General features: G+C 43.4%; 6 annotated features.

Annotated features, from left to right (window-relative positions):
• Window positions 487-986: an enhancer, noted in NCBI's record as "H3K27ac hESC enhancer chr1:229333469-229333968 (GRCh37/hg19 assembly coordinates)". NCBI's record gives its function as "activates a minimal SCP1, AML or CMV promoter by ChIP-STARR-seq in naive H9 embryonic stem cells {active_cell/tissue: H9 hESC(naive)}" and the evidence as "EXISTENCE:reporter gene assay evidence [ECO:0000049][PMID:30033119]".
• Window positions 11904-11953: an enhancer, noted in NCBI's record as "active region_2699". NCBI's record gives its function as "activates an Ori minimal core promoter by ATAC-STARR-seq in GM12878 lymphoblastoid cells {active_cell/tissue: GM12878}" and the evidence as "EXISTENCE:reporter gene assay evidence [ECO:0000049][PMID:35858748]".
• Window positions 18565-19491: an enhancer, noted in NCBI's record as "OCT4-NANOG-H3K27ac hESC enhancer chr1:229314964-229315890 (GRCh37/hg19 assembly coordinates)". NCBI's record gives its function as "activates a minimal SCP1, AML or CMV promoter by ChIP-STARR-seq in naive H9 embryonic stem cells {active_cell/tissue: H9 hESC(naive)}" and the evidence as "EXISTENCE:reporter gene assay evidence [ECO:0000049][PMID:30033119]".
• Window positions 19492-20418: an enhancer, noted in NCBI's record as "H3K27ac hESC enhancer chr1:229314037-229314963 (GRCh37/hg19 assembly coordinates)". NCBI's record gives its function as "activates a minimal SCP1, AML or CMV promoter by ChIP-STARR-seq in naive H9 embryonic stem cells {active_cell/tissue: H9 hESC(naive)}" and the evidence as "EXISTENCE:reporter gene assay evidence [ECO:0000049][PMID:30033119]".
• Window positions 20419-21345: an enhancer, noted in NCBI's record as "H3K27ac hESC enhancer chr1:229313110-229314036 (GRCh37/hg19 assembly coordinates)". NCBI's record gives its function as "activates a minimal SCP1, AML or CMV promoter by ChIP-STARR-seq in naive H9 embryonic stem cells {active_cell/tissue: H9 hESC(naive)}" and the evidence as "EXISTENCE:reporter gene assay evidence [ECO:0000049][PMID:30033119]".
• Window positions 24200-24764: an enhancer, noted in NCBI's record as "OCT4-NANOG-H3K27ac hESC enhancer chr1:229309691-229310255 (GRCh37/hg19 assembly coordinates)". NCBI's record gives its function as "activates a minimal SCP1, AML or CMV promoter by ChIP-STARR-seq in naive and primed H9 embryonic stem cells {active_cell/tissue: H9 hESC(naive and primed)}" and the evidence as "EXISTENCE:reporter gene assay evidence [ECO:0000049][PMID:30033119]".

Here is a 24985-nt window from a genome sequence, read left to right as displayed (position 1 = left end):
CCCAATACTTTTGACCTCTATTTGGTTGAATCCACGGACGTGTGACCTGCAGATGTGGAGGACTGACTGTACTCACTTTGGTGTTTTCTATTCCATGTTATATTTTTGTTAATAAAATCCTAGTTTCAATCTACAAAAGTGATTTCTCAAGAAAATGTTATGACTTGCAGTTTGGAAACATTGCTTTAGATAATGTGTGGTATGTGGCAAGGGCTGTTTTCTTTCGTTATTTTCCAATAATGTTTAATGGCAGGGCACTTTGGGAACACTGGCTTGTATCACGAGGACTATCTTTCATGTCCATGCAGCTGTAAGTGTCCTTGGGCAAGTTGCTTCTCCCCAGGGACCCCAATTTCCTTATACATAAAATGGAGAGTTAGGATTAGGCCAAGCGTCCTTTGAGCTCTGAGAATCTGAAGTTCTATGCCGTACCTGTCCTTCGGGTGTCAGGAATACCTGTCACGTAGTTTTTAAGGTAACATTTGAGGTATCACCGATCTGAGGAGGCATGGGATATTTCTGGATGCTTTTCCATTGAGGCCCTGAATCCTGAACAAAAGGGGCTTGTTAGGAAGAACACAGGCCGTGGAGTTTATTGGCTCTACTGGTCTGTATTGCAATATCAGGAATATTCAGATCCACTTAATGACTCTTTCCCTTAATCGTCGTAATGACTGGTGACGCGTCCATGTGCTCTGCTCATGAGGAGCTGCAGGTGCTGAGAGCCCGAGCTCCTTGAGTGGAGCTGGCACGAGACTCCAGGCCTTCTGCCTCAAGCTCATGGGACCACACGGCTCCAGAAAGGGTGGGCAGTGATATCCCCAAATTGTAGAAATCAGAGATGGAGAACATGGCCTGTTTCAGGGTCCCTGCCAGCCCTCAGATGGTTTTTGTCTATTGTAGGAAACCTGTCAAGCACAATGCCTGCTGTGGGAGCCACCTTCTCCAACTGACACCGCCTGACCCCAGCTTCCAGCTCACTCCCCGCTCTGTGAAGGAAGCAGCTCCAGGTAGTATGTGTGTGTGTGCGTGTGTATGTGTGTTTGTATACAGGGGTGGCTATACCTGAACCAGAGGTGTGCCCCACTGCAGGCTGGACGGCCTAACAGGTTCTGCTCAAGAGATGACAGGCCGTCAGCTACACCAGCCGTCCAGCTCTCTGCATCCCTAAGCAGACCATGACAGACAGCAGGCATGGAGCTGCGAGGGCCATAAGAGTGAGGCCTGAGTCCAGTCTGCCCCAGCCACTGCTTGTATTCCAGGCCCGGGCTCCCTCAATCCTCACTGCAAACTCCTTCTCAGGGTGGCCTGAGTGTGGCTCAGCCCCCTCACATTTGCACCCATTACTCTGAATCATACAGGAAGTAAGGGAAAAGATGGAAGTTCCCAACTTCCCAACTTCAGCTTCTTCCTCTAAACCTAGGTCTCCACAGCCTCGGATTGTATCAGCAAAAAGGTTTGGGACATGCATCCCCAAAGGAGATGTATGATTTATTGTGTTTATACACAACCGTGTTAGTATATTTTCTATGATAAAATATACACAAAACAGAAATTAAAATGATGCAATAAACAATATTTTAAAATATAATTTATTTATGAAAGAGTCCAGAAATTGTTTCCTCTCAGTGAAGAAGTGTGTTTGGATAGCTTTTATTTTCTTCTAAAATCCTGACTCAACTCTGGGTAATGTGGTGATTCAAAGGCCTGGATTAAGTCTAGTTATTTGAATATTTGGGTTTAACGGTTGCCACCCTTAAAGAAGATACACTGGATCCAAGTAGAAGCCACACATGGTTGATGGGATGTACTAAGCCTTCACTAAGCCTCATTACTAATTTTTCTTTTTTCTTTTTCTTTTCTTTTTTAATTTGAGACAGTCTTGCTAGAGCACAGTGGCATCACAGCTCACTGCAGCCTTGACCTCCCAGGCTCACACAATTCTCCCACCTCAGCCTCCTGAATAGCTGGAACTACACGCCCATATCACTGTACCTGGCTAATTTTTGTATTTTCTTTGTAGAGACAGGGTCTTGCTATGTTGCCCTGGCTGATCTTGAACTCCTGGGCTCAAGCGATCCTCCTGCCTCAGCCTCTCAAAGTGCTGAGATTACAGGTATGAGCCACGGTGCCCAGCCTGTTTTGTCTTTTTCAAGTCAAGGTCTCCTTGGTCGCCCAGGCTGGAGTGCAGTAGCACAACATGGCTCACTGCAGCTTGGATCTCCTGGGCTCAAGGGGTCCTCCTGCTCAGCCTATGGAATAGTTGGGACTACAGGTGTGTGCCACCATGCTTGGCTAGTTTTTGTATTTTTTGTAGAGATGGGGTAACTATGTTGCCCAGGCTGGTCTCAAACTTCTGGTGACAAGCAATCCTCCCACCTCTGCCTCTCAGAGCACTGGAATTACAGATGTGAGCCACCTCACTCGGCCTCATTTTTCAGTTGTATCTACTAATGGTGCTAGGATCTTTGGTGAGACTCAGTAACTAAGTCTCTACCTTCTTTGCATTCATCAGTGAAGTTCTTACAAATTAATTGAATTGTCTTTATGTATACATTGTTTGGAAATTTTAAAAACAGGTTGGAAAGTTCTGTTTTTAAGGATTTTTTTGGTAGAAGCTTTTCGAGATATAGTTCACAAATGATACAATTCACCCATTTAAAATGTACAATTCAGTGGCTTTTAGTATATTTACTGAGTTTTGTGACCATCACTATAATCAGTTTTAAAACATTTCATCACCCCAGAAAGAAACCCTCACCCTTAGCATTTACGTCTCACATTCCCCCTGTCCCCAGCTCCCCTAAACAACCACTAATGCACTTTCTGTCTCTATGGACTTACCTATTCCAGATATTTCATATAAATGGAATAACATGTGGTCTTTTGTGACTGGCTTCTTTCATTAGCATAATGTTTTCAAGGTTCATCTGTGTTGTATCATATGTGAGTACTCTCTTCATCTGTAGGGCCAATTCATATTTCATTGTATGGATATACTATGTTTTATTTATCCATTATCAGCTGATGGGCATTTGGAGTGTTTCCACTTTGGGCCATTATGAATAATGCTGCTATAAACCTTCATGTGCAATCTTTTACATGGTTGTATGTTTTCATTTCTTTGTACATATACCTATGAGTGGAATTGCTGGGTTGTATGGAAACTCTATGTTTATTCTTTTGAGGAACCACCAGACTTTTTCAAAGTGGCTGTATCATTTTACTTTCCTGCTAGCAATGTATGAGCCTCCCAGTTTTTTCACTTCTTCAATACTTGTTTTTTTTTATTATAGTCATCCTAGTAGGTGTGTGTTATATCATCGTGGTTTTGATTTGCATTTCCTAATGAATAATGATGTTGAACATGTTTTCATGACCTTATTGGTCATTTATATATTCTGTGGAAAAATATCTATTTAAATCCTTTGCCCATATTTAATTGGATTGTTCATCTTTTTAATTATTGGGTTGTAAGAGTTCTTAGTATTTTCTAGATACAAGTCCCTTATCAAATAAATGATTTACAGATATTTTTCCCATTCTTTGGGTTGTCTTTTTATTTTCCTGGTGCTACTAAGTTTTTAAAGCCTGTAGAAATGAGGGTTATTGTTGGTGTCACACTTAACGGTTTTTAGGAATGAAGTTATATAATGATGGAAACATTTTTAAACACATGTTTTAAAAATGCCTTCTCCAGTACACACCTTTCTTTCTAAAAGGCTTATTCTCTCACTCCTGTTAAAACTTTACCTTTACCTTGAAGACTGTGAATGTTGTAAAAATTTATTGAGATGTCTTAATAATATCCGCTGGGAAGCAGATTGTTGAATGCCACGTGTCATCATGAAACGTTATCAGCCAACTTGGAACATCTTGTACAATAGAAATGATTGGTTTTGATGAGGTTTTTAAGTATTTGGCCACGAGGCAACCCTTGTGCTATAAAAATTTCATGACTATCTGGAATGAAAGTTTAGAGATTATTTATTTATTTATTTATTTATTTATTTATTTTTTGAGACGGAGTCTCGCTCTGTCTCCCAGGCTGGAGTGCAGTGGCGCCTTCTCGGCTCACTGCAAGCTCGGCCTCCCGGGTTCATGCCATTCTCCTGCCTCAGCCTCCCGAGTAGCTGGGACCACAGGCGCCTGCCACCACGCCCAGCTAATGTTTTGTATTTTTTTTTTTTAGTAGAGACGGGGTTTCACCGCGTTAGCCAGATGGTCTCCATCTCCTGATCTCGTGATCCGCCCGCCTCGGCCTCCCAAAGTGTTGGGATTACAGGCATGAGTCCCAGTGCCCGGCCGAGATCTTTTTTTTTTTTTTTTTTTTTTTTTTAAATAAAACTAACCACATTGGTGACATTCGGCAGCACTTGTTGCATTGTGGTCAACTTGTATGCCACAGTAACTTTTCTGCAAATGAATTTCAAGGGAGGAGTTTATTTGTAAACCTAATCCCATAATTTCTTGTACTTAAAGAAGAAAGTTCGAGTGAAAGCAGCAACTCCCTCTGTGGCTGCACCTTGCAGTCTTCTTGTGAGGCACTATTTTTATTCAAATTGTTATTTAATGTTGAGTGCATCTTCTCCGGGGCATCTTTTAGTGGTTCACAAAAAAGGAGATTTTAAGATATATTTCTGCCGGGCGCGGTGGCTCCCGCCTGTAATCCCAGCACTTTGGGAGGCCAAGGCGGGCAGATCACGAGGTCAGGGGATCGAGACCATCCTGGCTAAAATGGTGAAACCCCGTCTCTACTAAAGCTACAAAAAATTAGCTGGGCGTGGTGGCGGACGCCTGTAGTCCCAGCTACTTGGGAGGCTGAGGCAGGAGAATGGCGTGAACCCGGGAGGCAGAGCTTGCAGTGAGCCGAGATTGCGCCACTGCACTCCAGCCTGAGGAACAAAGCGAGACTCCGTCTCAAAAAAAAAAAAAAAAGATATATTTCACCATCGGCCGGGCGCAGTGGCTCATGCCTGTAATCCCAGCACTTTGGGAGGCCGAAGCGGGTGGATCACTTGAGGTCAGGAGTTCAAGACCAGCCTGGCCAACATGGTGAAACCCCATCTCTACTAAAAATGCAGAACGAAAAAGCTATATTTCACCATCCATACAGAACCTAACAAATGCTATAAGCCTAGACCTGTTGGGGACATCCTTACTTTCCTCTTGTATAATAAACCTCTCTGGCTACACAACGTATTCTAATGCTTGCTTCTTCAAATGCTCACCAACATTTGAACATGTGTCTTTCAATAGTAGCTATTAACAAAGGATTACATTTTAGTCTGTTGCTAAGTTGTTTTTCGTATTTTATTTCAGCCATTTTTTTTTTCTCTAGCAAGGAAATCTAATTCCCTAGTAGGGAAAAAATTGTGCATTTCCCAAATGTTAAGTGATGTTTTTAGTCTACTGTTATGAAGTGAGAAGATGTGAAAGAAGTTTTTAAATTTGTTGTTAAGTGCAGTGAGCTTTCAAAGTGGTGGATTAATTAAACATTTCCTCACTTTAACCATTGCTGAAGAACCTGTAAAGGTCTGTCCTTTTATGCATGTTCTCGTTTAGCCTGTCAATGTCTGGATGGTTTATGCTATCATTAGCCACTGTCACGGCACAACACACACATAAGAGAGATTGATAGTGGCTATAAATCCAGTCTTTACATCTTCTTGATGGTTTCAGTGTTTGTGGCTGAATGTTCGCCTGGTCTGATTCGATTGCCATTGTTTTATCTGTTATCATGGCTGTTGAAGAGCTTGTGTCAGGAGTAGGGAAAAGGCCACCATTGCTCCTTTCTGCTGGATCAGCTGGCTTTCTTGGTTAACTTTATTTTCCCTCTGCAGTTTCTTTGCAGGAATCTTTTATGCCTGTTTTGTAAGCATGAATCTGGTTAAAACTAGACAGTCTAAATGGACACAGGTAACTGCCTCACACAGCAGCAGTGGAAGGAGTGAAGGAGTGAAAAAATGAGAGCCACAGGCCACCACCATCCAGACCCCCAGGATAGCTGTGCATGGCGCCCAACCTGGGGGCCATGCACAGCTGATGTGTAGAGAAAGGAAGAGCAGCAGCAGTCACACAGGAAACAGCTAGAACTTAATTTCTTCACTAGGTAGGATTGAATTTCTAAGATCTCTTTCCATCTCCAGTAGATTGTCATGACTAGTTCTGAGGGACTTGTTTGGAGACCAATTCCTCTAAAAATTAGACCAAAGTACCTGTTTAGGACAAAGATAGAAAACATGTCTGATTTATGTATATATATTATATATATATTAAAGGCATATGGGTGTAGCCCTGTATGACAGATGCATTATTTAATAGTTTAATTGGAAACTTACTTTTTAAAAAACAAAATAGTCTAAAGAGATAAGGAAACATTGTGGTTTAAAGAGACGCTATGATAGATGACACCATTGTGTAAAAAAAAAAAAAAAGATCATTTCCTAATCATTGTGTTTCATAATTGTGGACACTTTTTTTGACTCAGACATGACATGGAGGGCTGAGTTAATCATACTTCTTGGCTCAGGGCACATTAATCATCATTGTTCTGCACAAGATTCCACCCTGGTTTCTAATTTTAATTTATTCATTCCTTTTTAGAGGTGTTTCCACTCTCATTTTCTTTCCTTCATGGGCAACCATTCCTCATGTTGGATCTATGTCTGTATCCATCTTTTCATTTGTAAACAAACATTTAGTTTAAAAACAATATAGTTTATGCATAAACTTTACATCAGTACAAATATTGATATAGTTTATAGGCCAGGATCGGTGGCTCACACCTGTAATCTCAGTACTTGGAGAAGCTGAGGAGGGAGGATCGCTTGAAGCCAGGAGTTTGAGACCAGCCTGGGCAACACAGCAAGATACTATCTCTAAAAAAATCTTTTAAAAATTAGCCAGGCATGGTGGCATGTGGCTGTAGTTCCAAGTACTTGGGGAGGTTGAGGTGGGAGGATCACTTTAGCCCAGGAAGTCAAGGCTGCAGTGAACCATGATTGTACTTTAGCCTGGGAGACGGAGCAAGACCCTAGCTCAAAAAAAAAAAAAAAGACAATAAATATATTTTATAAAACACATACTGTGATTTTGTGTGTGTGCTTTTCAATTTACATAAATAGTAATGTGCTATAGATGTAATTCTGTTTCCTTTTTTACTCAGCACAATGTTTCTCTGTCTGTGTTTTTGTGTGTACACCCAGTGTGTGGTTTCACACCACTGCATAGGATTCCACAGTGAGTACCCACCACATGGTATACGTTGCTTCACCTAGAAACAGGTATCTAGGTCCCCCTCAACTCCCCAGTACCAGGACCAAACTGGGATGAGAACATTCACACATTCATTCCCCTCTAGGACATCTGTGAGAACTTCCCTGGAAGATTTACATATATATCCAGCTCCTGAATACCTGCATACATAAATATACATATGAATGAGCTGGATTGCTGAGTCATGAAGTATGAGTATACCCAGATGGAATAACAACCACCAAGTTGCTCCCCAGAGTGGCTGCACCCGTCCACTCCATCCCTGCCCCAGCAATGCAATTAGCCTCCTGGAGCCTCATGCCCAGCTTTTGACTTGTTGCCAATCTCGTAGGTGTAATGTGATGTTTTGTTGTTTTATTTTTATTTTTCTGATAATAATGAGTTTAAATTTCTCTTCTGAAGGCTTGTCAGCAGTCCTTTGTATCTCCTCTCCTGTAAATTGCCTGTTCATACACTTGGCACCCTTTTTTTTCTATTGGGCTTCTCTGTTTTACGCTGTTGATTTACAGAAGTTCTTTGTACATTCTAAATTTGTGTCCTTCTTTGTTTTGGATATAGCACATATCTTGTCCCAATCTGTCACCACTCTGTGGCATGGCCCTGTAGGTCAGTGGTTCAGAACTTGGCTCTAAAGACCTGAGTTTGAATTCTGGCTGTGCCTGTTACCTATGGGACCCTAGGCAGATTAACCTCTGTGCATCTCAGCACCTTATGGTACCCACCTCATGGGGTTGCTAAGAATATTGAATCGGTTGATATTTTAAAGCACCCAGGAACACATAGTAAAGCTTGATGCATAGTATATATGAATGTTTGTTAAATAAGTACAAAATATTAACTCTGTCCTGGGGTTCTTGGTTGAAAAGAACTGCTAAATTCCAATGTTATTAATCAGTATTTAATTTCTGTTTCATTCTGTTTTGGGGATTCTTTTTAAGTTGTTCCTCTTCACTCCTAAGTCACAAAGTTATTCTCTTACATCATCTTCTATTAAACTTGTAATCCAGCCTTCCACATTTGGGTGGGATCCCATCTGGATTCCACTGTTATACATGGCTTTAGACATCTGCTTTTATTTTTTGCCACGTAGCAAGTGAGTTTTCCCAACCCCATCCTAGATAGTCTGTTCTTCCCTCAGTGATTGTGGAGCTGCTTTTATCATAGCCCCAATCACACCTGGGCCTGTGTCTGAGCTCAGTACTGTGGCTGTTGCTGCAGAGCCATTGTCATGCTATTAATTAGTGTGGTTTTAGGGAAAGTGGTAATATCTAGTAGGTCAAGCCTCTCTCTGCTCTTCTTTTTCAAAATAGATAGCTATATATGGACATTATTCTTCCATATACATTTTAGAGTGAGCTTATCAAATTCCTCAAGAAGTTTGGCATTAATTTTGATTGGTGCAGCATTAAATTTATACATCAGTTTGAGGAAGAATAGATATCTTTATACTATTACACTAACCCAGCTGAGAGTGTGAAATGTTCCTCTATTCAGATCTTTAAAACAATGTCCTTTAAAAGAGTTTAAATTTGTTCTCCATACAGGCCTTAAGTTTTCTTTGTTTTTGTTTTTTTGAGATGGAGTTTCGCTCTGTCACCCAGGCTGCAATGCAGTGGCGCAATCTCAGCTCACTGCAACCTCTGCCTCCCAGGTTCAAGCGATTCTCCTGCCTCAGCCTCCTGAGTAGCTGGGACTACAGGCATACATCACCATGCCTGGCTAATTTTGTACTTTTAGTAGAGATGGGGTTTCACCATGTTGGCCAGGATAGTTTTGAAATCCTGGCCACAAATGATCTGCCCACCTCAGCCTCCCAAAGTGCTGGGATTACAGGCATGAGCCACCACACCCCGCCTAGGTCTTAAGTATTCCATAATTAAATTCCTGGATACAAGATAATTTTTGTCACTATTGTGAGTCACCATCTTATTATCATTCTCTTATTGACTTTTGATGGTAAAGGGAAATGCTACAAATGATTTTTTTTAAGTTTTTCTGGTCTTCAATGATCTTTATAAACTCCATTTGTTTTTTTATTATAGATGATCCTACAGTCTGCAAATTATGATATTTTTATCTTTTCCCCTCCCACTCTTCTGCTCTTTCCTTTTTATTTCTTGCACTGTTGGCTGAGCCCTTCAGGACTATGTTAAAGGGCAGTCCTGGACGGAAGAGCATGGTCTTGCTTTCACAATTAAAGGGAGTGAGGGTCAAGCTTCTCCCTTAGCAGAGTATTTGCTGTAAGTTTTCTGATGTATAACCTTTTCTAAGTTAAGGCATTCCCTTTCTATCTTTGGTTTCTTCAATTTGTTAAGAGATTTCCCCCACCTTAATACATAGTTATTAAACTTTACCGAGTGTCTCTTCTGTAGAAATTGAGATAATCATAGAATTGTTCTCCCTTATTCTAGCAATGTTAACTACATTGACAAATGTTTTCCATGGAACCATTCTTGCCTTCCTGAGCTGAATACTAATTGGTTGTAATTTTTCTTAATACGCTATTAGAGTCAGTAAGATTATGTAGCATATTATTTATTCTTTGAAATTTTGGTAGAGATTACCTAGGTAACCATCTGGGCCTGGCACCCCAGGTTTTGCTTGGCAGTGTTTTCATTGTTATTTATTTTATAATTTTCCTATTAGTTTATTTTAATGTAAATATATTTGTTAGCATGTTAATTGGTTTCCAGACATAGTTGACCCTTAAACAACAAAGATTTGAATTGCACGGGTCCACTTCTACTGGAGGTTTCTTCTGCCTCTGCCACCCCTGAGACAGCAAGACCAACTCTTCCTCTTCCTCCTCCTCCCCAGCTACTCAATGTGAAGACGATGAGGATGAAGACTTTGATGATGATCTGCTTCCACTTAATCAATAGAAAATGTATTTTCTCTTTCTTAGAATTTTCTTAATAATATTTGCTTTGCTCTAGCTTTCTTTATTGTAAGAATAATGTATATAATACATATAACATACACAGTATGTGTTAATCAACTATTTGTGTTATCGGTGATGTTCCTGTCAACTGTAGGCTATTAGTAAAGCTTTTGGAGGGAGTCAAAAGTTGTATGTGAATTTTTGACTGAGCGGGGGGTCAATGTTCCTAACTCCCATGTTATTTAAGGGTTAGTTGGATATGGTATTTCAAAAAGATACTTTTTTGATATTGATTTCTAATTTTATTGTTATGTGGTCAGAGAATACATGGGAGATATATATATATATAATATTGATTCTTTAGAATTGATCATTGAGGTACATAGTCAGTTTTTAGAAACATCCTATGTATGCCTGAAAAGAATGTGTATCTTCTCTTTGTTAGACATTGAGTCCTGTATATAACTCATAGTTCAAGCATACTCTATATCTTTGTTTATAATTTTTATCTGCTCAAGCCATTAGTGTTTGAGAAAGGTGTGCTAAGTCTTCACCCACAACTGTTGATTTACCCTTGCTTCATGTATTTTGAGGATATATGGTTTTGAATTTAGGTGATTATATCTTTTGGCTGTATGATTCTTTTTGCCAGTAACCTATGATTCTTTTTAACTTGAATTCTATTTTGTTAAAGGTTGAGATTGTTATCCCAGTTTTCCAGTTTGGGCTCATCTTTTCCCACCTTTTATTTTCATCCCCTTAAAGACTTTTTGGAAATGGAATGGTGGTTATCAGAGGCTGGGAAGAGAAGGGGGCTGTAGGGATGAAGAGAAGTAGGTTAAGGGGTACAAAAATACAGTCGGATAGAAGAAATAAGTTCTCGTATTCAATAGTACAGCAGAGAAGTTATACTTAACAGTAGTTTATTGTAAGCCAAGCATGGTGGCTCATGCCTGTAATCCCAGCACTTGGGGACGCTGAGGTGGGTGAATTACTTGAAGCAAGGAATTCAAGACCAGCCTGGGCAACATGGGGAAAACTTGTCTCCAGAAAAACTAGCTGGGTGTGGTGGCACATGCCTATAGTCCTAGCTACTTGAGAGACTGGAGTGGGAGGATCGCTTGAGCCCAGGAGGTTGAGGATGCAGTGAACCCTGATTGTACCACTGCACTCTAGCGTGGGTGACAGAGTGATACCTTGTTTCAAAAAACAAAAATGAAAACAAAAAACAAAAACAAAATAAAACAATATAACTTATTGTATATTTCAAAAGAAAAACTAGAAGAAAAAAATATAATGTTCCCAACACAAAGAAATGTTTGAGGTGAGGGGTATTCCAATTACTCTGATTTGATCATTACACATTGTATACAGGTATCAAAATATCACATACACCCCATAAATATGTACAACTGTGATACGTCAATAAAAAATACAAAAACCTTTTTGCTGATTGGTTCCCAGTTATTGTGTTTTACAGGTTAGGGTATCTGTGTAGTGACTCTCTTTAAGTGGAGCGTTCTTTCACAGTATCCATGAAGTGGCAGAATTCAGTTACGTGGGTAGGCACAGGCTTTCTGTGAGCTGCCCTCCCTGATCTTGCTCTTTCCCTGCACCTTCATAGCTCCTAGCTGCATAAGAGGCCTGGTGATGTGGCTTTCAAGAGTCAAACAGAAACCCAAAGTGAAAGTCGAGTTTTTCTGCTGCTGGCCTCCCTAACTGAGGTCTGCTTTACTCCCATACAGGCCCTAGTAGATGTTTGCCCACAGCAGGAACCCAGCTCTAAATGAAGGGATGGGGCAGGAGGCAGGTAGGGAGGTTTAGTGAAGGATGAGCCTGGATGATGCTGTTGAAAGGCTTCATCATGATTCAAACATTGTACTGTTCTGTGTCTTTCTCATTCCGCCCTGCTTCTGAGAGTTGGTCTGAAGGTTGTGCTTCCTCAGCTCTGAGGTTTTTGGATTAGTGTCTGTCAGTTACAAAATGGAGATAATAAAGCAGGGAGGCCGGGCGTGGTGGCTCATGCCTGTAACCCCAGCACTTTGGGAGGCCGAGGCGGGTAAGTTACTTGCGGTCAGGGGCTGACATTTGCTTGAAGCCTCCAGCTCATGACTGAGCCAGGACTACCCTTGCCAAGCCATTCCTGACTTCCTGATCCACAGAAACTTTGAGAGATACAAGTCACTGATTATTGTTTTAAGCCACTAAGTTATGGGATTATTCAATGCACAATGATAGATACACTGACTTTTTACATGAGCTTCAAAACTGTCATTCCAACTCTACTCTCCTCTCTAAATCATACTGAAGGCTGACTGATGAAATCTTCCTAAGATACAAATTTAATCCAGCTGTTCTTATATTCAAGAACACTTGTAACCTAGCAATCAGTGGCTTGACGCCCAATGCGCATAGAGGCCAATACCATTGTGCCAGCTTTTGAGAAAAGAAAAAGCTTTATTGCGACTCAACTGGCAAAGAGACAGTAGGAAATGCTCAAGTCTGTCTCCCCAAGCTGGGGTTTGGTTTGTGTTTTATAAGCGCAGGGTAATGAGGTGTGGTCTAAATGGATCTTGCAATGAGGTGATGCCGGGAGGCATGGTTTGACTGCTTCCTGCCATGGGATGATGCCGGAGCTCCATCTGATTGGATCCCGGATCCTACCATCCAGTGTCTGCTTCTTAACTCAGTCCCTGCTCCTCCGTCCCAGCACGTAGGTCCCCACTGTGGTTGCACACTTAGATCTCCTGGGCAGGCTCAGGTCATGTGACCTTCAACCTGGGAGTCCATGATGACTGAAAAACAAGTCATAACTTTGTTACATAAAAGTTGAGCTGGGTGGGGTGTGGTGGCTCACGCCTGTAATCCCAGCACTTTGGGAGGCTGAGATGGGTGGATCACCTGAGGTCAGGAGTTTGAGACCAGCCTGGCCAACATGATGAAACCCCATCTCTACTAAAAATACAAAAATTAGCTAGGCGTGGTGGCGCATGCCTGTAATCCCAGCTACTCGGGAGGCGAGGCAGGGGAATCGCTTGAACCTAGGAGGTGGAGGTTGCAGTGAGCCGAGATTGCGCCATTGCACTCCATCCTGGCGACAGAGCAAAAATCTGTCTCAAAAAAAAAAAAAAAAAAGTTGAGCCAGATTGGTCCGGTGCAGTTGCACTGACTATATTTTGCCAATTAAGTCTGGTCCAGATTCATTAGTTTGAGGTTCAGTGCCCTCCGTGAGCTACCCCTGCTGCATCCCATGTGTCCAACCACATGTATCCCATGTTAACTCTCTTCCGTCAGTTGGGTGGACTCCTGAGGGGTCCCCCAACGCCTACTCACAATTCCTGGACATGCATTTTCCAGTACAAATTCCACTCCGTGTCTCTCAGCTTGTGCTGATGCTTCCCTCGCTGCAATTCCTTTGGGGTTTATGGTCTTTGTCACTCATGTTGGAAGTAATTAGGTCCTGTTATGTTCTGGATCTTTCTTCTGCTGCCTATGTCTCTGCCTTGATCCTCCACTGTGGCGTATGTGCCTTGAGGTTGGGTAGCAAAGGTCTGGTTTTGCTACATGTCTTTGTTGACTTTTTGCTAGAACGTGCTGTGTCTTCTCTTCTCCCCACCTCAGTTTTCTCAGCTGTAGGTGAAGAAATTGGACTACGTGGGGTCTCAGGCATCTTCTGGAGCTAGCAGCTCATGAGCCCGCTGACAAACTGAACCCATGCAGAAATGTAATAACTGTCCGTCTCCCTGCCTCTAGCTTTTCTCCCTTTGAATCTAGCCCCTCCCACCCCCACTGCCAAACTTGTTTTTCCTATGACACAGATTTGATTGTGTTAATCTTTTTAAATATTTAAATATTTCTTCCAGCAGTGTTCTGTAATTTTCTTTTTTTTTAACTTTTATTTGTTAAATAGGTAACATAGGTAAAGACATGTCACATAGGTAGAGATGTGTCACAGGGGTTTGTTGTCCATATTATTTCATCACCCAGGTATCAAGCCCAGTACCCAACAGTTATCTTGTCTTCTCCTCTCCTTCCTCCCACCTTCCACCCTCCACCCTGTAGACCCCAGTGACTTTTGTTTCCTTCTTTGTGTTCATAAGTTCTCATCACTTAGCTCCCAGGGTTAATCTTCTTAGAAGTGTCCACTGAATTTCCATTACCTACAGAATAAAGTCACAGCTTCTTAAGAGTCAATGAGAAGGTTCATTGTTGACGAAGGGCCTGTTCTGTGCCAAGGGCTGGGAGACTCAGTGAGCCAGTCAAAGCCGCCTCCAGGCTGCAGACAGGAAGGCACCGGGCTCTAGCAGCGGGTCCCCAGTTTTGCTTGTGAGCTGCATTCCACTGGCCACTCTGCCTTTCATAGAGGTGAGGTATTAATAGTAGTTGAGGAAGACTTTATGAGGGAGATTGGATTGGTGCTGAGCTTTGAAAGATGAATGAAATCATTTGGGGGATTCATCCACAAAAAACACAGAGACTGGCCAACACTGATTTGCAGGGTAAGTTTACGGCATTCTAATGAGACTAGCCTTGTTGGACCAGTAGATTCTAGTGCTGAGTAGTGTGAGGCTAGAAAGGCGTGTTCTCTTGTTCTCATGTAAGCTCTGGGGGTGAGCCTCTGCTATGTGTGTCCAAACGTACTGGGGCATCTCTGCGTGTGGGTGTTCATGTGTGTGGCCTAGAGGACATGTGAGTAAATGTGAATGTATGTGAGGGTGACAGAGTGTGTATGAGTGTGAGTAATGTGTGTGCAGATGTGAGTGGGTGTGTCACTTGGAGAGAGCGCTGAGGTGTAGACTTGCTGCTTTTCTTGTTTTTTATCTAGATGATATTAAAACTCAGAATGAACTTTGGCATCCTTTGTACTCACAGTTTATCAGCTGTTAATTTTCCCTGCCCAAGCATAGTAGAGTAGCCATAGTGTTCCAACATTTTTAGTGTTCACTTATGGCATATTTTGGAAATTTGAAATTAAGCAAAAATCTCAAAGAGCGGAGAAAACAAGTAAGTACCCTTTGGGGAGATCCAAACAGGGGACCAGGCCTCTTTGGAGCTGTGAATAGGTTCCCTGCCTCACATCCCGATACGGTGTCCAGAGTGAGGACGTGGTGATTAAGGGAAGTACAAACTGGCAGGGCAGTGTCTGAGCTGAAATGGAGTCAGGCTGATCAGGACTCTTTCCGCGTTTCGGCTGGGGTGGCCTTGGAGAACCTGGTAAGCACTGCCTCATTGCCGGGTCCATTTCACAGGCTTCAGTTTCAGTGTCCAGCTGGAAAAGGGGAGAGGGGCTCTCCCTGATCTTACCAGATCCCTGGTAAGTCACTAAAATCTTCGCGTTTCCCCCAAACTCTGAAGTGGTCCTTCATTCACAAAGGGGGATCACCTGAAACTGTCCCATGGGAAAGTCCATAGTTTGTTGTTTTAAAGAATGTATGAGAAAAGTGCTAGAAACGGCTACTTGAATTTTAACACCCACAAAGGCCTGTGTTTCAGCTTTCTTCCAATGGCCAAACCATATGGTACCCTGGACCTTATACTAAAGCAAGGCTAAAAGCTATTTTAAGTGCTTGCTGTTTAAAGTCTCTTATTTTGGGAGAAAAGGGAAAAGAGGCAAAGTGTGGAGGTGAGGGAGAGGTCACCTCTTCACAAATATTTCCATTTTTCTTGAATCTTACTAGCTAAGATAATCACAGTGCAGTGCCATTGGCGGCAGGAACTTTCCATGCAAGGAAACATCAAACTCTCCCTTGGATGGGCCCCACCCAGGTGACTTAGCCCGGACCATATTTATGCTTTTTATTTCATGCTTGGCATATAGATGGAGAATTGGTCTTTTTTTTCTATACTGGACATGTAAACACTGGAGAAAATGGCATTTGTTGCCTTTTGATGTGCCAAAGAAAAGTGGGAATGTTCAAGAAATTCTCTTTGGCTTAGTCTTGGTTAAACTGACAATATGCATAACTTACCAGCTGAAAGTGTGCAGGTAGTCGTGAAATTGTTTGGTTTTCTGACACGTGTGCCTTCAGCATGCATATCATTACCACCCGGCAGTTGGAAACTTATCTTTTTCTAACCAACTATTAACTAAGGTCAGGAGAAGAATGAATTTATATCTTTTACTAATGACATAAGGGCCCATTTCATATCCTTGTTAGCCAAGCAGACTAAGTGGATCAAACTGTGGAGAATCCATACATTTTGTAGAAATACTTAAAAAATTCCTTTACAGAGAGTGTGACTGTCTCTAAAAGCTTATTTTTAATGGTGACAAACATTGTTATCAGAATTTGCTCCTGTTTACTATAATTCGGGGGTCAAAAACTGAAATACCTTCAGAGGCCCAGGAAGGGCTGGCTGTAATAGGGAAACACACGGTGTCTGAAGGGGACAAACAGTGAGTTATTTGCTCTGGCTGATTTATAGACAGTGTCACCTGATTTTCCAGTTTATCAAGACTCTGGAGATTTTATGAAATTTGAATTTTAAATTTTGAGAATTAAATATTTTAAGTAAAAGTCAGTGGCTCCAATAATATATGATGGGCTGAGTACTAAACAACTGGTTTGCATCCTCACATTTGTAGGGTTTTTATTTTTTATTTGTAGAGACAGGGTCTCATTATGTTGCCCAGGCTGGTCTCGAACCCCTGGCCTCAAGAGATCCTCCCACCTCAGCCTCCCAAAGCAATGGGATTACTGGCGTGAACCACCACACCCCATTTATAGTTTTTTTGTCACAGTCACATGGTCAATAACTTTTCAAAAACATCAGTGGAAGAATTCTTGTTGGTGTGAATTGGAAACAAAACTCAAAAGAACGTGGCCTAATTTAACAGGTAAATTTGAAGTGCATCTATCAAACAGAAGACCAGCAAGAGAAAAAAATAGTGTTCCTAGGAAGAGGCAACAGGTTGCATAGTTTGAGGGCAGGCATTTTTCCCACTTAGGGGTAACCGTATGCTCTGCTGCCTGTCTTAGGGCCTTATGATTCTGTGGTCACCTGTTTCTTTGCTACTTCACTTTGGTGTAGGCAGAGTACTTTCTGCAGGTTTTCTCATAAATGAAAACAGCAGGATTACCAAAAATGGCAATGTTTGCATTGGTGATTTTAAACAGCAGCATGTTCAACTGTAATAAGGATGATTAAACACACACACACACACACACACACACACACACACACACACACAATTCCCCCAAACCAGCAGCATGGTGCCAACATTGATGATTGAAAGTCAACTTAAATGAGAATCTGAGACTTTTGAAGTATACTTGGTTGCTTATGTGTCTCATGTTGGGGTTACTGGAAGGTTTTGGAAAGCACACTTTTATTTACTTGTTTTTGTTTTTGAGACAGAGTCTCACTCTGTTGTCCAGACTGGAGTGCAGTGGCACGATCACGACTCACTGCAGCTTCGAACTCCCAGGCTCAGGTGATCTTCCCAAGTCAGCCTCCTGTGTAGCTGGGACTACAACTGCATGCCACCACACTTGGTTAATTTTTGTATTCTTTTTTTTTTTTTTTTTTTTTGGTAGAGATGGAGTTTCAGCATTTTGCCCAGGCTGGTCTGGAACTCCTGGGCTCAAGCGATCCACCTGCCTCTGCCTCCCAATGTGCTGGGATTACAGGCCTAAGCCACTGCACCAGGCCTAGCATCGTTTTTGTTTGTTTGTTTTTTGCTTAAGTTCCCCTTTCTGTGATCCAGAGACTGTTCCCCTCTCTATAGCCTCTACATGATGCATGAAAGAAAGCATTTTAGACAAAACTATTGAAATATTTTGCTGTTCTCTACACTGTATTTGTAAATATATATCTTGTTGGGTTTCTGTGTTTGTCTTCTGGACTTAAAATTTGGAGCCGCTCTTGGGGTGGCATTGTACAGGGTGGCCTAAGGAATTGCAGTGAGCTGCTGCTCACTGCAGTGTGGGACCCTGTGAGTGGTCTGTTTAATGTGTACAAGGACTGAAGGCCTATAAAAATAAAAATCGTTGTCGGGATAATGGAGTTACTGTAATTTGTTAAAGTTATACATATTTTCAATAAATAACACATTCTTCAATAAAAAAGAATTGGAGAGATTGTGAAAAAATGTGAGTATGAGAGTGTGTGTGTGAGTGTGTGAGTGTATCTGAGTGTGTATGAGTGAGTGTGAATTGTGTGAGAGTGTGTGAGAACACGTGAGTGAGTGTGAGCATTTCTGACCAGCAGTGGCCTCTTGGCAGTCCCCTCTGTCTCTGGTCAGTGTCACCGGCTGAGAAGGGAGAAGGGACTGTGGCTGCTCTTTAGTCTGGCTTGTGTGGGGTACAATGGACAAATCTGGAAGTTGGTTTTCTTTCTTTTTTTTTTTTGAGACGGAGTTTTGCTCTTTTTCATGCGCGTCCGTGTGAAGAGACCACCAAACAGGCTTTGTGTGAGCAACATGGCTGTTTATTTCACCTGGGCGCAGGCGGGCTGAGTCCGAAAAGAGAGTCAGTGAAGGGAGATAAGGGTGGGCCGTTTTATAGGATTTGGGAAGGTAATGGAAAATTACAGTCAAAGGGGGTTTGTTCTCTGGCAGGCAGGAGTGGGGGTCGCAAGGTGCTCAGTGGGGGTGGTTTTTGAGCCAGGATGAGCCAGGAAAAGGACTTTCACAAGGTAACGTCATCACTTAAGGCAAGGACCGGCCATTTACACTTCTTTTGTGGTGGAATGTCATCAGTTAAGGCGGGGCAGGGCATTTTCACTTCTTTTGTGATTCTTCAGTTACTTCAGGCCATCTGGGCGTATACGTGCAAGTCACAGGGGATGCGATGGCTTGGCTTGGGCTCAGAGGCCTGACATTCCTGCCTTCTTATATTAATAAGAAAAATAAAACAAAATAGTGTTGAAGTGTTGGGGCGGCGAAAATTTTTGGGGGGTGGTATGGAGAGAGAGTGGGCGATGTTTCTCAGGGCTGCTTCAAGCGGGATTAGGGGCGGCGTGGGAACCTAGAGTGGGAGAGATTAAGCTGAAGGGAGGTCTTGTGGTAAGGGGTGATATTGTGGGGATGTTAGAAGAAATGTTTGTCGTATAGAATGATTGGCGATGGCCTGGATACGGTTTTGGATGAATTGAGAAACTGGAATAAGAGAAGGAGAAAAACAGGTATAAAAGGTCTAAGAATTGGGACGACTCAGGATATCTGATTAGAGAGTGCCTAAGGAGATTCAGCATAGTCCTGCCAGCAAAGATTATTTATTTACTTCAAGAGTTAAGAGTGGCAGTTTGGGGATAGCACCAGGAGATATCAGCTGTGACGGCTTGGAAAAACAGTGTAAACCGGCAGTGTAAACAAGAGCAGGGCACGTATGAGTAGTTGAGAACGGTGACTAGGAGTATGACTAGACAGAAGATAGTAGGGATGACAATTTTTTTGGAGCACCGTCCAAGTTGGTCTGGTGTCTGGAATGAGACTGGGACCTAATAAAAAGGAGCGTCTATACAGGAGCTCAAATGGGCTGTACCCCGTAGCATTCCGAGGACAGGCCTGAATTCTGAGAAGGGAAAGTGGTAAAAGTATTGTCCAGTCCTTTTTAAGTTGGTGGCTGAGCTTGGTGAGGTGTGTTTTTAAAAGACCTTTAGTCTATTCTACTTTTCTTGAAGACGGAGGACCGTAAGGGATATAAAGGTTTCACTGAATACTAAGAGCCTGAAATACTGCTTGGCTGATTTGACTAATAAAGGCTCGTCTGTTATCAGACTGTATTGAGGTGGGAAGGCTAAACTGAGGAATTATGTCTGACAGAAGGGAAGAAATGACTGGAGTGGCCTTCTCAGACCCTGTAGGAAAGGCCTCTACCTATCCAGTGAAAGTATCTACCCAGACTAAGAGGTATTTTAGTTATCTTACTTGGGGCATGTTGAGTAAAGCTAATTTGCCAGTCCTGGGTGGGGCAAATCCTCGAGCTTGATGTGTAGGGAAGGGAGGGGGCCTGAAGAATCCCTGAGGAGTAGTAGAATAGCAGATGGAACACTGAGAAGTTATTTCCTTGAGGATAGATTTCCACGATGGAAAGGAAATGAGAGGTTCTAAGAGGCGGGCTAGTGGCTTGTACTATAGCATAACCTGCCTTTGCTGGTGTGTGGCGATTAGGCCTGGTGGAACCGCCATCAATAAATCAAGCGTGATCACGGTGAGGAACAGGAAAGAAGGAAATCTGGGGAAATGGGGTGAATGTCAGGTGGATCAGAGAGATACAGTCATGGGGGTCAGGTGTGGTATCAGGAATAATGTGGGAGGCCGGATTGAAGTCTGGGCCAGGAACATCGGTAATTGTGGGAGACTCAACAAAGAGTGAGTACAGCTGAAGGAGCCGGGAAGCAGAAAGTATATGCGTCAGGTATGAGGAAGAAAATAGATTTTGGAAGTTATGAGAACTGTACAGAGTGAGTTGAGCATAGTTTGTGATTTTGAGGGCCTCTAAAAGTATTAATGCAGCGGCAGCCACTGCACGCAGACATGAGGGCTAGGCTAAAACAGTAAGGTCAAGTTGTTTGGACAGAAAGGCTACAGGGTGTGGTCCTGGCTCTTGTGTAAGAATTCTGACCACGCTAACCATGCCTAGGAAGGAAAGGAGTTGTTTTGTAGAAGGTGCTGGGGTTTGAGAGATCAGTTGGACACGATTGGCAGGGAGAGCACGTGTGTTTTTATGAGAATTATGCCGAGATAGGTAACAGATGAGGAAGAAATTTGGACTTGATTGAAGTAATGGGGGCTGTCTGTGAAGCTTTGCAGCAGTATAGCCTAGGTAATTTGCTGAGCTTGATGGGTGTCAGGGTCAGTCCAAGTGAAAGTGAGGAGAGGCTGGGATTAAGGGTGCAAAGGAATAGTAAAGAAAGCATGTTTGAGATCTAGAACAGAATAATGGATTATAGAGGCAGGTATTGAGGATAGGAGAGTATATGGGTTTGGCACCACAGGGTGCCAAAGGTGGGATAGGCAAAACAATTTGGTTGATAAGGTGCAGATCCTGAACTAGCTTGTAAGGCTTGTCTGGTTTTAGGACAAGTAAAATGGGGGAATTATAAGGAGAGTTTATAGGCTTTAAAAGGCCATGCTGTAGCAGGCGAGTGATAACAGGCTTTAATCTTTTTAAAGCGTGCTGCGGGATGGGATATTGGCGTTGAGTGGGGTAAGGGTGATTAGGTTTTAATGAGATGGTAAGGGGTGCATGATCGGTCGCCAAGGAGGGAGTAGAAGTATCTTATACTTGTGGGTTAAGGTGGGGGGATACAAGAGGAGGATGCAAAGGAGGCTTTGGATTGGGAAGAAGGGCAGCAATGAGATATAGCTGTAGTCCAGGAAGAGTCAGGGAAGCAGATAATTTAGTTAAAGTGTCTCAGCCTAATAAGGGAACTGGGCAGGTGAGGATAACTAAAAAGGAGTGCTTAAAAGAGTATTGTCTAAGTTGGCACCAGAGTTGAGGAGTTTTAAGAGGTTTAGAAGCCTGGCCGTCAATACCCACAACAGTTATGGAGGCAAGGGAAACAGGCCCTTGAAAAGAAGGTAATGTGGAGTGGGTAGCCTCCGTATTGATTAAGAAGGGGACGGGCTTACCTTCCACTGTGAGAGTTACTGGAAGCTAGGCATCCTTGATGGTCTAGGGGGCTTCCGAGGCGATTGGGCAGTGTCAGTCTTCAGCAACTAAGCCGAGAAGATCTGGGAAGGAGTCAGTCAGAGAGCCTTGGGCCAGAATTCCAGGGGCTCTGGGAGTGGCTGCCAGGTGAGTTGGACAGTCCGATTTTCAGTGGGGTCCCACACAGATGGGACGCGGCTTAGGAGGAATCCTGGGCTGCAGGCATTCCTTGGCCTGGGGGTCAGATTTCTGGCACTTGTAGCAAGCTCCTGTGGGAGGAGGTTCTGGAGGAATGCCTGGCAGCTGCGGTTCAGGCGTTTGGAAGTTCTTGTGTGCTGGAGATGTGGCTGGGATTTGTCTCACAGAGGAGGCAAGGAATTGAAACTTTTTTCTATTATTGTACACCTTGAAGGCGAGATTAATTAAATCCTGTTGTGGGGTTTGAGGGCTGGAATTTAATTTTTGGAGTTTTATTTAATGTTGGGAGCAGATTGGGTAATAAAATGTATATTGAGAATAAGATGGCTTTTGACATTTTAGGGTCCAGGGCTGTAAAGTGTCTCAGGGTTGCTGCCAAACGAGCCATGAACTGGGCTGGATTTTTATATTTGATGAAAAAGAGCCTAAACGCTATCTGATTTGGGATAAAGAAAAAGGAGCATTAACCTTGACTATGCCTTCAGCTCCAGCCACCTTTTTAAGAATAAATTGCTGGGCAGGTGGGGGAGGGCTAGTCACAGAATGAAACTGTAAGCCAGACCGGGTGTGAGGAGGGGAGGTGATAAAAGGATTATAGGGTGGAGGAGCGGAGGCTGAGGAAGAATTGGGACCTAGCTCGGCCTGGTGAGGAGGGGAGAGGTCGGATGGGTCTGTAGAAAAGGAAGATTTGAAAGACTCAGTGACGCTTGGGGTTGGGACTGAGGGGACAGGCGGGAGGGAAAGAAGGAAGATTTGGGAGGAGTTGCACTGGGCACAGAGACTAGGAAGGGACTGATGTGTAAAAGAATGCCTGGATGTCAGGCACCTCAGAACATTTGCCTATTTTACGACAAGAATTATTTAGATCTTGCAGGATGGAAAAATTCCAAGTGCCATTTTCTGGCTATTTGGAACTACTATCGAGTTTGTATTGGGGTCAAGCAGCATTGCAGAAGAAAATAAGGCATTTAGGTTTTAGGTCAGGCGTGAGTTGAAGAAGTTTTAAGTTTTTGAGAACACAGGCCAAGGGAGTAGAAGGAGGAATGGAGGGTGGAAGGTTGCCTATAGTGAAGGAAGCAAGCCTAGAGAAAAGAGAGAGTAGAGAAATGGAGGGAAGGGGTTCGGGGGTTCTTACCTTCCAGAAAAGTGGGAAAATGGGTTGGGTCGCAGAGATAAGAGGTCGGGGTGTGGAAATAAGGGATTGGGGTGCAGAGATATAAGAGGTTGGGGCGCGGAAATAAGGGATTGGGGCACAGAGATAAGAGGTCGGGGTGCAGAAATAAGGGATTGGGGCGCAGAGATAAGAGGTTGGGGCACGGAAATAAGGGATTGGGGCGCAGAGATAAGAGGTTGCGGCATGGAAATAAGGGATTAGGGGTTCTTGCCCCATAGAAAAGCGGGACTTGCTGCTAAGTGTGAAGGAGAAGGGGTTGAGGGGTACTTGCCCCTCTCCCAGAAAAGCAGAGAAGGGGTAGAGACATGGAGAGAAGGGGTTGAGGTACTTGCCCCTTCCCCAGAAAAGCGGGACTTGCCGCTAAGGGTGAAGGACCAAGGCAGGCGTCCCTGCGTGGTTTGACACCCTTGAAACGTGGGTGTATAATCAGAGAGGCGTCCCTGCAATGATTAAACACCAAGGGAAGGCTGCCTTCCCAGTCTGTGACCAGTGCCGGAGTTTTGGGTCCACAGATAAAATGCGTCTCCTTTGTCTCTCCCAGAAAATGAAAGGAATTGAAATTAAGAGAAGGGAGAGATTGAAGAGTGGAAAGGAGAAAGTGGTTGAGGGACAGTGAGAGAGGTTGGAGAAGAGAGTAAGAAGAGGCCGCTTACCTGATTTAAAATATGTGAGATGTTCCTTGGGCTGGTTGGTCTGAGGACCTGAGGTCATAAGTGGATCTTTCTCACAGAGCAAAGAACAGGAGTACAGGGGACTGATCTCCCAAGGGAGGTCCCCTGATCCGAGTCACAGCACCAAATTTCATGCGCATCTGTGTGAAGAGACACCAAACAGGCTTTGTGTGAGCAACAAAAAACGGCACCAAATTTCATGCGTGTCCGTGTGAAGAGACCACCAAACAGGCTTTGTGTGAGCAACATGGCTGTTTATTTCACCTGGGCGCAGGCGGGCTGAGTCCAAAAAGAGAGTCAGCGAAGGGAGATAAGGGTGGGGCTGTTTTATAGGATTAGGGTAGGTAAAGGAAAATTACAGTCAAAGGGGGTTTGTTCTCTGGCAGGCAGGAGTGGGGGTCGCAAGGTGCTCAGTGAGGGTGGTTTTTGAGCCAGGATGAGCCAGGAAAAGGACTTTCACAAGGTAATGTCATCACTTAAGGCAAGGACCAGCCATTTACACTTCTTTTGTGGTGGAATGTCATCAGTTAAGGTGGGGCAGGGCATATTCACTTCTTTTGTGATTCTTCAGTTACTTCAGGCCATCTGGGCGCATATACGTGCAAGTCACAGGGGGATGCGATGGCTTGGCTTGGGCTCAGAGGCCTGACATTCTTGTTGCCCAGGCTGGAGTAAAATGGTGTAATCTCGGCTCACTGCAACCTCCACCTACTGGGTTCAAGCGATTCTCTTGCCTCAGCCTCCCGAGTAGCTGGGATTACAGGTGCCCGCCACCACGCCCGGGTATTTTTTTGTATTATTGGTAGAGACAGGGTTTCACCATGTTGGCCAGGCTGGTGTTGAACTCCTGACCTCAGGTAATCCACCCACCTTGGCTTCCCAAAGTGTTGAGATTACAGGCGTGAGCCATCGTGCCTGGCTGAAGCTGGTTTTTTGAATTATCCATGTCCTTTCCACCACCCCCACTTGTTGCTCCCAGTGTGGGGTCTGTCTTGTAGCCCACTGAAGCCCCCTTCACTGACCAGCACTCCCTTCTTCCTCTCCTGGAAGCATACTCCCCCAGAACTTTAAAGCTATTTCCTGATTGTTTGAAAGGACAGTGGATTAGTGTGACCAACCCATTAGAGGGCCTCAAGGATGGAGTTCACTTTGAAGTCATAAGACCTTTCTCATTTAAACTCTGGGT

The sequence above is a fragment of the Homo sapiens genome, chromosome 1 (genome assembly GCF_000001405.40).
Source record: "Homo sapiens chromosome 1, GRCh38.p14 Primary Assembly".
Taxonomy (NCBI): domain Eukaryota; kingdom Metazoa; phylum Chordata; class Mammalia; order Primates; family Hominidae; genus Homo; species Homo sapiens.
Note: the sequence above shows the minus strand (reverse complement) of the source record. Positions and strands in the feature narration are given on the sequence as shown.